The sequence below is a fragment of the Homo sapiens genome, chromosome 4 (assembly GCF_000001405.40).
Source record: "Homo sapiens chromosome 4, GRCh38.p14 Primary Assembly".
Taxonomy (NCBI): Eukaryota; Metazoa; Chordata; class Mammalia; order Primates; family Hominidae; genus Homo; species Homo sapiens.
This window is the reverse complement of record NC_000004.12, coordinates 119233266-119247639: the sequence shown is the minus strand read 5'-3', so window position 1 is coordinate 119247639 and position 14374 is coordinate 119233266. Positions and strand designations below refer to the sequence as shown.

Genomic DNA, 14374 nt, shown 5'->3' with positions numbered 1-14374 from the left:
ACCCTGCCCACATGGAGCCTATATTCTAGTTATAGTAATGAGAAGGCAAAGAAGTAATTATATAACATCAGAATGTGATAAGTACAGTAGAGAAAAATAGATACAAGAGAGAAAAATAAAGCAGTGTAACGGGGATAGGAATGCCAGGGATATTACAGATGGAAGCAGCTTACCTTTTACCTAGGGTAGTCGGGGAAGGCCTCACTAATGGAAAAGTAACATTTGAGGAGAGGCATAAAGGAAATAAGGGTGTTAGCCATGAGGACATCTGGAAGAAAAGCATTCCAGACAAAAGGAATAACAATGAGAAGACTTTGAGGTGGGGATCAGCTCTGAGAAATAGAGCCCAGTTTGGCTAAAATGCAATGTGTTTATGTGTGTTTTTGACAGGGGAGGAGAGGAAGGCAAGCACAGGAAAGAGGCAGGTGACTGTGCAGGGCTACAAGAGAGTTGGTCTAGGAAATTAATAATCCTAGGTTTTACAATTAGACAAAACATTCAAAATTTACTGTGGAATAAATAAAATGTGATACTGTAATGTGATCTAGGTTCATTCTTCATGTCCTAACAATAACCCTATTTGGCCATGTTCTTAAAAAAAGAGAATATAAAATTTCTTCCTTTGGTGATTTACTCAAACAGCCTTTTCAGGAACATAATGAAATTAAGGCACATACATTAAAAAAAAAAAATTCTGTGTGTCTATGTGTATGTGTTCATTATGAATATTCAAGAATGTAAAAAAATGAAACATTTATCTCTAAAATGTATAACAAAATCTTAAGTTCTCTGGCAAAACATTTCAGTGACACGAATGAGTTGCTAATATATACTGGATGCTCTGTTTCTTTGTCTTCCTTCTATTTTCCTCAGCAGAGCAGCCACAGGGATCTAGTTCAAATATTATATCTGGTTAAAACAGACTGTATCACTCTTCCACTCAAAACAATGCCCCATCTCCCTAAATCACTCAGAGAAAAAGCCACGATCCTTACAGAGGCCTATAAGGCCCTACACAATCTAAACCCCTGTTATAGTTATTTATTGCTCTGTAAATAAACCACCCCCAAAATTTAGTTACATAAATCTGCAATTTGGGTGGGGACAGCATGTCTCTGCTCCACTCGAAGTCATTTTGGACAGTTTGAATGCTGGGACCTGGAATATCTGAGGGTCGCTCTTTCATGTCTGGCAGTTGATGCTGGCTGTGGGCTGGGAACTCAGCTCTAGCTGTGTCCAGAATGTCTCCACGTGGTCTTGCCGCATGGCCACCTGGCTTCCTCATCATGGTGGCTCACTTCCAAGAATGAGCAACTCAAGAGACAGAGGTGGGTGAGAGTTATATCACCTTTTCTAAACTAACCTAACCTCAGATATCTTGCTTGCAGCCTCAGTTCTGCCATAGTCTATTTGACAGAAATCAGTCATTAAGGCCAGCCTATATTCAAGGAATTAGATTTTGGATAAGGAAGCATGCAAAAGCATCCACAGACATGTTTTAAAGCCACCTCGGCTACCCTCACCTCAGAGCTCACCTTCTACCACTCTCTTCCTTGCTCATAAAGCTCCTGCCATCGCCACCCATATTTCCTTGGTGTTCCTTAAATATATCAGGTATACTCATACCTCAAGGCCTTTGCAGTTGCTGTTTCTTTGTCTACCTGGAAGGCTCTTCAAGGTGTCATTTCAAATATCAGTTTCTCAGTGAGGCTTTCCTGCCTATACAACACTCCCTATTTTCTTTCCCTGATGTATTTTTCCAATGTTACAACTATTACCATCTAACATACTCTATAATATTTTGCTTTCTTATTATTGTCTCCTCCTCTATAAGAATACAAGCTCTATGAGAAGAGGGATTTTTATCAGTTTTGTTCACTGCTGTATCCTCAGTAACTACACTGGTACCCAGAACTCAGTAGTAGCTCCAAAAACATTTGTTAAAATGAATAAGAATAATTGCAAAATAATGAAAAAGATAATGTTCCTAACAATTTTATACTACTTAGAATATTAATTTTTAACTGTCCTTATATAAAAGAGGAAAATGAAAACACAAACCTGAATAAGTCATACTGTTAAGAATTCATCTTCAAAACTGTTAATCACCTGACAGTGAACTTTAGTTACAACAAACTGACCCAATATATCAAACTTAAATTTTTGAAGGAACAATTGATAGTAGTTTTTCAGAGCTATTAAAAGGTTACCTTCAATGCACAAAATATACAGGCATCTCCCTGACAAACATGTCCAGTCAAAACCCGCAAGCTTCGTCGGAATATATCCAATTGCCATAAAACCTAAAAAACAGGGAGATGTTAAGGAAAAAGAAATAAACAAATTTTTCTTACTGTAACAAAAGACAGATTTAGATATTTTACAAATTGCAAAAGGCGAACAAGTAACTTCTTTTAATTGCCTGTACATAATCAGACACACATAACCACTGGAAATAACAGCAAGTATAAAATTGCTACATGCATGTTGTGCATATATAAAAGTTGGATTCAGAAGATACTCTTAATGGTGCACATGAAAAACTATGACAAGCATGGAGCAGGGAAAAACCAACTCCTCATTAAGGATTTGGTCTGAACAGGAAACAAGGAATACTAAATAGAGAAGTTGGCAGAGACATGAAAGAGGAAGTGATTATAATACTTGGAACAAACTGAAATTTTGAAAGGAAATATAATTAGACTTTAAAGCCAGAGTGTACTAAATTGGGGTCTGCACATTATGGCAAGAAAAAGGGGTGAGCAGAGGTGTATGTGGTCACTGTACATGGAACAAGAAAGGGGGCCTGTGTGGTAATGGGGGTACAGCATAGTAAGCAGCAGCCATTAATAAATTACCTAAGTATATACTTGATGCAATTATCCACTTATCTTCTGCTACTAAAAGACAAAGACAAAGCAAAGACAAAGACAAACCAAACCCAAAGACGGCAACTGTCAAAACAAATCAGTCCAATACTTAAAATCATTCTGAAAAACCTGAATTCTAGACAATGAGGATAAGAATAGTACTTGTGTCTCATAGAGTTCTTGTAAGGATTAAATAATATGTAATGTTTCTAGAGCAGGGTATGGTACTCAACTGGCATGCAATGAGTACCAGCTGCTATTTGTGGCTGTTACTACTATTACAACAAACAAATAAGATCTTCAAATTTCTCTTTTAGTCGTGTCCTCAGATAACGTAACTAAGAAAATCTATTCATGATCTCTCCTTTCTCCCAAATAAAAACAAAAAGTTAATAAAAACAAACTGGCTTTAATATTTCCTATATTTTCAACTACTCCACAACTAAAGGTCATTTCAAAATTTCTCTTTAAACGTTGCCTTTTATTAAAGCATAATGAATAGGATCCATTTTTCTGTCACAGATAACTCAGTGTTTTTGCAAAGCACTTGATGATGTTTAATAACTTTCTTGAGTATCATATCCTAGCATATTTTAAAAAATACACGGAAATCCATTTTACCAAGAAAGAAGATGATTAATGACAGCACAACTTTAGAAGCAATGTACCACTGAGGTTAATAAAAAACATCTGAAGGCAGGTGTCTGGTTTCTAATTCTGGGTTTACTATTTACCAAATCCTGGACTGACTCAGGCAAAATATTTTCTGGGACTCAGTTTTCTCAACAGTAAAATAAAGACAAATGTAGTACTTACCTCTTAGGGCTGTTGTAAGGATTAAATTAGGTGACATATGCAATGTTGAAACAAGCAGTAAGAACACAATAAATGTGAGCTATTAAATAGTATAGTATTAAATAACTTTCCTTCTCAGACATTAAAATCACACTAATGTTATACCTAATTGTACTGTTTTTGCATTAGGTAAAAGTTTAAAATATTCAGCTAAAATACCCTCTATAATCTGTTTATAAAGTTTAGTGAAGTCTTCCAAATGTAACCAGAATGTTTTCTATGATTACGAAAACTCTGAGTTACACTGGATCAAACTACAGATAAAATGTTTTATGTGATTTATTTCAAGTTCCCTGTACATTATTGTCTTTAACACAATACTGTAAAGGCTACTTTAACAAATCGCTATCACAAAATAATTATCCTAATTATAGTTAATCTTCATCCATTTTATTTTATTTTTATTTATTTATTTTTTAGATGGAGTCTTGCTTTGTTGCCCAAGCTGGAGTGTGATGGTGCTATCTTGGCTCACTGCAACCTCCACCTCCTGGGTTCAAGCAATTCTTGTGTCTCAGCCTCCTGAGTAGCTGGAACTACAGGTGCCTGCCACCACGCCCAGCTAATTTTTTTATTTTTGGTAGAGACGGGGTTTCACCATGTTCGCTAAGCTGGTCTCAAACTCCTGGCCTCAAGTGATCCACCCACCTTGGCCTCCCAAAGTGCTAGGATTACAGGTGTAAGCCACTGTTCCTGGTCCCATTTCATTTTAAAATGTTGATTATATTCTATCACTTATTTTAAAAAATTAAGGTTTAAGATAGTTATTGAACTAATTAGTTTCTAGCAATATACACTTTTTCGTTATTTGCATGTAGCAATTTAAATGGTGCCTAACAAAATTAATGTAGTTATTTTTGAATATTTATACATATTTCTTATATTATTCCCAAAAGATCAATACATATCTATACACACATTAAATACAAACCTTTCATCATACATTCTTTACTTGAAAATAATGTAAGAAATAGCTTAAATATTAATAAGAAATGGCATGTAAATTCATTTTTGTGTCTTATATCAGATCTAAACATTTTAATGTCTGTGTTTAGTAAATTCTTACAAGACATATTCTACAATTTATTTCTCAGCATTTTTGAAAATGTATTCATCGAATTGCAAATCAACATTTGTATTCTGAATTTTCAAAAAGAAAGGTCTTATCTCATAGAAAATCTATTTGAATAGTTGTTTTGTCAGGGAGAATTAGCCATGTAAATGAGTTTATATGGCAGACAACAGAGACCAACAGATCCCCCAAAGCTGCTAGAGTTGGCAGGGCAGAGTACTGCAGAGAGCTGCACAGAGAGTTAACATCAGGGATCAGTAGAGGATCCTCCTCCAGTATTTGGGGGTGTACTATGAGGAAACTGTCTGAGGCCTGGGAAAGAAACACCCAAAAGGATTAGAGGGAATAGTGCCCAGAGCTCACAGGCCCAAGATGGTGCCTATTCCTGCAGCCAAAGTAGAAAACTTCATAATTCACAGAGCAATGGTTGAAAAAGGAGTCTCAATAGCAGAGAAATTAACCAAAGAATAAGCATAGCTCTGTCCCGCCTAACAAAGTTTAAAAGTAAAATGATCAAACTGCTTCCAAATAAATAAACTCTGTCCCAGAACAAACTTCTAGATTATTTTTAGGGAATATAAAAATATCCATAACCTGACAAGGTAAACCTTGTCTGACATCCAACAACAACAACAAAAAAAGTAACTGAAATGTACCCAGTATTTATACAAATAACAGAATTAGCAGACAAGTACATAAAAACAATTATTACAACTATACTTCACATGTTCAACAGACTAGCAAATGCTAAGTAAAGACATGAAAGAGATTTTAAGAAGACCAAGATAAAACTTCTCAAAGTGAAAACTACAATGTCTAAGACAAAAAATACACTGGATGGGATTAATAGCAGATAGGCAATGCAAAGGAAAAGATTAATGAACTTGAAAATGGAGTAACAGAAACCACACAAAGTAAAACACAAAGAGAAAAAAAGACTGAGAAAGAAAATAAAGAGAGCATCAGTAAGCTGTGGAACAACTGGAAAACTTCAGGCAACTCACTACATATGTAACTGGAAAACCCCAAAGGAGGGAAGAGACAGAAAAATTATTTGAAGAAATAACAAAGTGTTTCCAAATTTGATTTAAATCCAAAACGCACAGACCCAAGACACTCAACAAACCCAAACACAAGAAACATGAAGAAACCTATATCAAGAAACATCATTAAATTGCTTCAAGCCAATGATAAGGAGAAAATCTTAAAAGCACCCAGAGAAAAAGAACAAATTACATACAGAGAAACAAAGATCAGAATATTAGATTTTTCATTAGAATAATGCAAGCTAAAACAGAGAAGCAAAATCTTTAAAGTACTGAAAGAAAAAATGTCAACTTGGACCATCTTTAATGAGTGAAAATATCTTTCAAAAATAAAGGTGAAATACAGATCTTTTTCAGACATACAAAAGCTGAAAGAATTCATCACCAATAAACCTGTATTACAAGAAAGATCCTTCAAGCAATAGAAAAGGATATCAGATGGAATGTGGATCTATGCAAAAAAGTGATGAGCACCAGAAATGGCAAATATGCAGATATGTATAAGTAAACAGTCTTCATGGTAAATGTCAGCAGAATGTTCATTCTTAAAAAAAATACATCACCATAGGAATACTTCTCAATGTTTTGATCCATGTAAGTTTCCTTACTCAAAATTTTCACCCGTTCTAATATGCGTTTTGTTTCTCTGAACTATACATAGTATTTTGGGTGCTAATGAAAAGGACAGAAACAGAGGGGAAAACATAAAAGGTAAAAAGAATAGGAAAAAGGGTAAACAGAAAAATATCTGAAATGCCAGAAACGCTTTCTCACAGCCTGATTCTATCAAAAGCATTTAATTCCAGGTCTTTTGGTATCTAATATTTCACTATATCCAGTGCCACTGAATAAATATTTTTCTGCATTTGTCACAGTAATGTCAGTGGGATCTTTGAGCCAGGGCAGAACACTAGCATTTAAGTGTCCTAAAGTAAATTAGAATAAATGCTTTCTTAATACCAACTGCTTCTCTTTCGCTGGGTGAGTTAGAGAACGTTCAAGTTTGGCATCTGTCTCAGGTAGAAGGCAACTGAGAATACAGCTCTGAGTCAGATATCTGTGCACTTGACACATTCTACATGTGTTTATTTGTCAGATGAGCTAATCAACACAATATTTTTCTCTATTAGTTTTCAAAAGAAAAAACAATGCATATGAAAAGTGAATCATTATATATGAATTCTTTTAAGGTATATTCTAAGGTCAATAGAAAAAGTTATCAGTATTCTAAATCTTCCTCATCTTTAGTACTCTACAATGGTCAGAAGGACACAGGATCTATAAAATCTATAACTGCTGAATAAAAACTTTATTAAGCATAAGAAAGTATAGTTATCTAAGGCAGAAAAGCAGGTTAATTAAGATTTTCAACAAGGATTGAGGCAAAATGGATTATCCTTCAATTTAACCAAAACAGTGGAGCCCAAATGATGATTCCGCAGAGGTAATTTAAACACCACAGTGGGAGGTGAAGGGAGTTTGAGTACTGAAATCAAAAACTCTGCATTCTTATCTCAATACAAGCAGCTTATGTCTTTTTATTCTATCTACAGGGATCCATATACTGGATGTTTTTTCAAAGGGAGGGGTGTTAGCTGATTAAAACCAAAACATTTGTGTATGTTAGAAAAATGTCCTTAATTTACTAAATAAACCTTTTAAATAAGATTATTTATATCATAGTGATACATCAGTCTGTTGAAAAAAACCATTTTCATTTATTATAAAAACCAAAATGACCAGCCAAAACACTTTTGCTCCCATTTAAAGTTATATTAAAAAGTCATTCTAGTCTATAGTAACTTTATTTTTAATTTATGAGCTAAAGAAGCATTAAACAAAGGATTTTCTGAAAAGTATTTTTTTTAATGTAATAAGTAATTATGGTCTCACCTGTACAGCGCTATTAAGAAAGCAGCTGTTTTGTCCTGGTTCATTTAACAAGCCTTTGGTAGGGGCTAGTGATAGCATACTTCCAGGCTGATAAACTTTTCCAAGATTGCCACCAGGTTTCCGTAAGAATTTTACCCATGCCATTTTCAAGCAACTTTGTTTGCATTTAGGCTAAAAACTGTACACTTTTATGTAATATTTTGGACAATAAAATGGATGTCTTGAATTGTCCAATTAAATCCACTGCAGTCTATTTTAATAATGTAAGTTTCCAAGTCCATATCTTTCCTGATGTTATAAACTCTTAAAGACTCTGACAAGTAACAATAGGGTGCATAAACATTGAAGTTCTAAGCACTAAAAAAGAAAGCTATTTTAAACAAGGCGTTAAAGATGTTTATATGTGTTAAATTTTATGGGAGCTGTATAAGGTTAATATGAAAACGATTTTTTTTAATGGCTAAAAATACTGATGAACGAATCATCCCCTTTAATGCATAAGCCATTTGTCTTGATGCATAAAATATGTTAATAATACAAAAAGATGTAGAGTTGGCATTTGGCATGATTCCTTTGGTTGTTTGTTTTCCTTATGTTTTTTTAACAAGAAAGTTTTCTCTCTCTTTCCCAGGTGAAGTTATAAAAGGTGACTCCATATTTCATATCAATGTGACCTCAAAGCAAATCTACAAAAAAGAAAAAAAAGTTTAAATAAAAGCAAATGCAAATAAGAAAATTCTTAACTTTACCATTTGAACACAAATATTGAATATAGAATTAAAACTCGTCATAAAAAGGATTAGAACTGATAGCATTCTAATATAAATTTTTAAAAATTTCATCATTTACATTTTTAAAATATCAATGTGACATCAATCCCTACCTACCTTAAGCTCAATGTTCAAAAGATGGTTTCCTAAGGAAAATATTATCCAAAAATCTAGAATAAATTATATTTCAGCTGGTATGCTGTATCTGTCAACACTAAATTGCTCTAGAATATATTGTTATCCTTCTTACATAGAATCATATTTTTCCAAAAAAAGACAGATTTTATGTAAATGGATATGTATAATTATTCAAAAGAAACCTTTAAGTCATAAATAAATCTTGGTGAATTAAATTTCCATGGTATCAACAAACGCACACTCCTGATTAAAAGGACTTTAAATGTTAAACCTATGAATTAAAAACAAACAAATGCAAGAATACTTTGTTTTATAGCATTTTACTTTATCGCTCTTTGCAGATATACTGCCTTTTTAACAAACTGAAGGTGTGTGTCAACCCTGTAGCAAGCCAATCTACCAGCACCATTTTCCCAACAGCATATGCCCACTTCATGTCTATGTCACACTTCAGTAATTCTTTTTCATTATTACTGTATCTGTTATGCTGATCTGTGATAAGTTATCTTTGATGTTTCCATTGTAATTGTTTTCAGGCAATATGAACCACTCCCATATACGATAGCAAGCATAATCCATGAATGTGTGTATTCTGACTGCTCCACTGACCATCTGTTTCCCCAACTCTCTCTTTTCCTCAGGCCTCCCTACTCCCTGAGATGCAGCAGTACTGAAATGACGTCAGTTCATAACCCTACAATGGCCCCTAGGTGTTCAAGTAAAAGGAGTCGCATGTCTCTCATTTTCAGTCAAAAGCTGGAAATGACTAAGCTTGGTGAGGAAGGCATGTTGAAAGTTGAGACAGGCAGAAAGGTAGGCTTCCTACATCAAGCAGTAAGTAACCCAAGTTGTGAATGCAAAGGGAAAGCTCTTGAAGGAAATTAAAAGTGTTACTCAAATAAACACCTGAATGATAAGAAAGTGAAACTCCCTTATTGCTGATAGTGAGAAAATTTGAGTGGTCTGGATAGAAGATCCAACCAGTTACAACATTCCTTTAAGCCAAAGCCCAATCCAGAGCAAGGCCCTAACGCTCTTTAATTCTACGAAAGCTGAGAAAAAGAGGGTGAGGAAGCTAAAGAAAAGTAGGAAGCTAGCAGAGGTTGATTCAGGAGGTTTAAGGAAAGATGCCATCTCCATAACATAAAAATACAAGGTGAGTCAGCAAATGCTGATGGAGAAGCTACAGCAAATTATCCAGAAATCTAGCTAAGATAACTAATGAAAGTGGCTACACTAATTAACAGATTTTCAGTGTTGAAGAAACAGTCATCAACTGTTTGACAGATGAAGACTGTCATCTGTGGAAGAAACAGTTGAAGACTGACAGTGATATTGACAGATGGAAGAAGATGCCATCTAGGACATTCACAGTCAGAAAGAAGTCAATGCCTGGCTTCAAAGCTTCAAAGGACAGGCTGATTCTGTCTTTTTTTTTTTTAATTATTTTTTAATTTTTTCAAACACTTGTGTCGAGGGCTGACTTTCAATAGATAGCAGCGAGGGAGCCGCTCTGCTACATACAAAACCCCGACCCAGAAGCAGGTCATCTATGAATAGTTTAGCACCAGGTTCCCCACGAACATGCATTGCGTGACGGGCGAGGGGGCGGCCACCTTTCTGGCCACAGGCTGACTCTCTTATTAGGACATAATGCAGTTGTTGACTTCAAGTTGAAGCCAATGCTCACTTACCATTCTGAAAATTCTAGGGCCTTAAAAATCATGATAAATCTAGACTGACTGTATTCTACAAATGGAACAACAAAGCCTGGATGACAGCACATCTGTTTACAGCATGGTTTACTGAATATTTTAAGCTCACAGTTGAAGACCTACTGCTCAGAAAATATTCCTTTCAAAATATTACTGTTTATTGACAATGCCCCTGGTTACCCAAGATTTCTGATGGTGATGTACAAAGAGATTAATGTTGCTTTCATCCCTGCAATAACCATTCTGCAGCTCATGAATCAAGGAGTAATTTTGACTTTAAAGTCCCATTATTTAAGAAACACATTTCATAAGGCCACAGCTGCCACAGAAAGAGATTCCTCTGATGGAACTGGGCAAAGTAAACTGAAAACCTTCTGAAAAGGATTCACCATTCTAGATGCCATAAAGAACAATCAGGATTCACAAGAGGAGGGCAAAATATCAACATTACCAGGATATTTGGTTAATGATTCCAACACTTATGAATGACTCTGAGGGGCTCAAGACTTCAGTGGAGAAAGTAACTGGATGTAAACAGCAAGAGAACTAAAATTATAAGTGGAGTGTGAAGATGTGACTGAATTGCTGCAATCTCATGATAAAACTTGAACAGGGGAATTGCTTCTTACGGCTGAGCAAAGAAAGTGGTTTCTTGAGATGAAATCAACTTCTGGTGAAGATGCTGTGCACATTGTTGAAATGACAACAAAGGGTTTAGAACCATTACTGCAGTGCCAGGGTTCCACCCCAGTTCTGAAAGAAGATCTGTGGTGGGGAATATGCTATCAAACAGTGTCACATGCTACAGAGGAATCTTTGGTGAAAGGAAGAGTCAATGTGGCAAACTTCATTGTTGCCTTATTTTAATAGCCACAGCCACCTCAACCTTCAGCAACCATCACCCTGATTCAGTCAGCAGCCATCAACATCAAGGCGAGACCCTCTACCACCAAAAAGATTACAACTTACTGAAAGCTCAAATGATCATTAGCATTTTCTAACAATAGTTTTTAAATAAGATATATACATTGTCTTTTTAGAAATAATGCTATTTTGCACACTTAATAGACTGTGGTATAGTGTATACATAACTTTTATATGCACTGGGAAACAAAAAAATTCCTGCAACTTGCTTTATTGCAGTGGTCTGGAATCAAACCTGCAATACCTCAGTGGTATACCTGTATTACTAACAGTTTTGTCTAATCAACTGAATTTCGTTGATGAATTATTTCATTCAACATTTTTTGAGCCATGTATTGAACCAGTCACTGAAACTAACATTATAATGACGAAAGGCAGACAATACCTTAAGGAATAATAAATTGTAGAGTGTACCAGAAGGGTTACATGATAAGTAGTAACAAAAGCAATCTAAGAAAAGGGGATAGGAAGTATATATAATGTGGGATGGTTTGTGCTTTTAGATAGGATAATGAACGATGGTCTCATTGAGGTTACATTTGCACAAAGATTGGAAAGGGATGAAGAAGCCACCTAAGAGAAGGAATTCCAAGCACAGTGAACAGAAACCTCAAAGATACTGAGGGTTGGAGCATATCTGGTATAGCGGAGAAATAGTAATATAAAGTCTAGTGTGGCAGGAGAAATGTGAACAAAGAGAAAAGTAAATGGGAAAAAGACAGATCATGTGGGATCTCACAAGCCCTTTTTAAGAACTCTGGCTTTAAACTCTGGGTGATGGCTGGGCAGGGTGGTCCACGTGTGTAATCCCAGCACTTCTGGAGGTCAAGTGCGGAAGATCACTTGAAACCAGGGGTTCAAGCCTAGCCTGGGCAACATAGCAAGACCTTGTCTCTACAAAAAATCAAAAAAAATAAAAAATTAGCCAAGCACAGTTGTACACACCTGTAATCTCAGCTACTCAGGAAGCTGAGGCGGGAGGATTACTTGAGCCCAGAAGTTTGAGGCTGCAGTAAGCTAAGACTGCACCACTGCACTCCAGCCTGGGTGGCAGCAAGATGCTGTCTCTAAAAACAAACAACAACAACAAAAACTCTGGGTAACAGTCACTGAGTTCCACAGTACAAAAAGATGGGAGACAGAATGACACAGATTAGTTCAATGTCATTAATCAAATAGCCATTACAGAAGCGCTGAAAAACAAAGAAGCATCAGTCTCTAAAAGAATCCAAGTCAGGAGACTTTGTTTCCATGCCTATTTATTGGCTGCTTAGTCTTAGATACATTCTTGTCATCTCTGATTCATGGTTTCTTCACTTTTAAGATGGGGATAACAATAACAGCCCTGCTTTAACATAGGTTAAATGTTTTGAGAATTATAAAACACTATACAGTCAGCCGTCCATATCCACGAGTTCTGCATCTGTGGATTCAAGAACCAGGGATCAAAAATACAGTGTTTGTGGGATGCGGAACCTCAGCTGTGGAGGACCAACTTTTAGGTCCACTGAATGATCTAAGTATCCATGGATTGTGGTATCTGTTGTAGGTCCTGGAACCAATCCACTGAGGGATAAATGTATTATGTTAGTTGTTTTCTTCTTTTTATTTTACTCTACAGTTTATAACCTCTTCTAAAGTGATCTAAATGATCCTGAAACCTTGCATACAAATTAAGGTTTTAATAAATTTAATCATGTTTGTAGAATGTTAAGGAAGTTCTATATTGGTAGTACATTTTTATTTTTAATGAAAGAATCTTTTTGAAATAATATTTTCAATAAACTTTATTAGACACCAAGTCTGCCCCATGAACTATTTTTATATACACTTTAGCGTATATGTAAAAATCACTACCCTTAAGGGGCTTAGTTTGCTGAGGGGCACAGACACAAACAGATAATTTAAAAATATTATGGCTTCCATTCCAGCACAAGATTTCAAATTCCTGCTTCCCTCCCTCCATCTCAACCCTATAGATTACACAAAAGCAAAAAGCAGTCTAATAAATGAAAAACCTTGGGGACACTAAAAGCAATGGCTTCTAGAGTGTTAAGGAAATGGCAACCAAGAGATGGAGCAGGCCAAATGCTACCAAATGGAAAAGACCTAGTTGTGACCTTTTCCAGTCCTTACATTGCTCTGGGCAGAGAATTTCTACCCTACAGGATGCAATGAGACAGAAAAGCTCTGCTACCACTCCAGTGCCATCTGAAGAGTACAGGAGATTATTATATCAGGAAAGCACCAGAGCACAAACAGTTTGGGAAATGGTAACAAGTTTAGGTGACCTGCAAGGCCCCTGTGTGTTCTGTTCTCACCGGCACTGCATAAATACAATAAGGATAGCAGGTCCTGGAGAAGATCATGCCTCTAAGCAGGTCAACAGGAAGTTCCTTTTTGGCACCAACTGTCGAACTGCATCACCCCGAATCAGCCCACACACTCCCACCTCTACTCCATGAAATTACACAAAGACACATGTTAAAGCCTAGTCTTTCACCCTGCTCCCCAGGCAAATATTACTAGCTCATAACTTGGAACTTCTAAGAAAAATATAACCAGACACTTGGAGAGTATGAGCACAATGAAAGAAAGGCAACAAATGAACAATCAATACCATAAGAAAAAAGACTAAAGAGACCACAAATTTAAAACAAACATAATATTCACCAATTGAAGATATGTATAGATTTTTTAAACTGCTGAAATAAAAAATCCGATGGGTTAACTAGCAAATTGAATATAGGGCAAGAATATACTAGTGAGCAACAAGTTCAGGTCAAGCAATTCTACAAAGCATTAAAAAAGGAATAAGGAAGTAGAAAATATAAACACTTCTCAAAAGCTATGAGACATGGTTAAAATATTTAAATGTCAATATCTAATAAGATTCTCAGAAAGGGAAATAAATAAATATCTCTAGAAATGATTAAGAATTTGCCAGAATTAGAGACTGAGAAACTCAGATAAAAACAGGATGTGTAACTCAAAGAATCCAAACATGATGTAGGAAAAAAGAGAAGTAAGATGAAAACTGTGAAACCTTATACTAAAAAGAAGAAAGGAGATTTCCAAGTCAATTTATAGT

At 35.6% G+C, this 14374-nt stretch overlaps 1 protein-coding gene across 33 annotated transcripts in view; it reads right to left on the bottom strand.

The window, feature by feature from the left end:
• Positions 1–14374, bottom strand: part of USP53 (ubiquitin specific peptidase 53) — an 82918-nt gene that overhangs the window by 47879 nt on the left and 20665 nt on the right. For 14 of the 33 annotated variants that reach the window (XM_047415829.1, XM_047415828.1, NM_001371395.1 and 11 more), the window contains 3 exons: positions 12229–12350; positions 7737–8422; positions 2211–2303 (listed from right to left, as the gene is read on the bottom strand). In XM_047415829.1, coding sequence (XP_047271785.1) covers positions 2211–2303; positions 7737–7880 — 237 coding nt within the window. In that variant the 5' untranslated portion in view covers positions 7881–8422; positions 12229–12350. The remainder of the gene's footprint in view (positions 1–2210; positions 2304–7736; positions 8423–12228; positions 12351–14374) is intronic. The other 19 variants (XM_017008313.2, NM_019050.3, XM_005263077.5 and 16 more) reach the window with 3 other exon arrangements.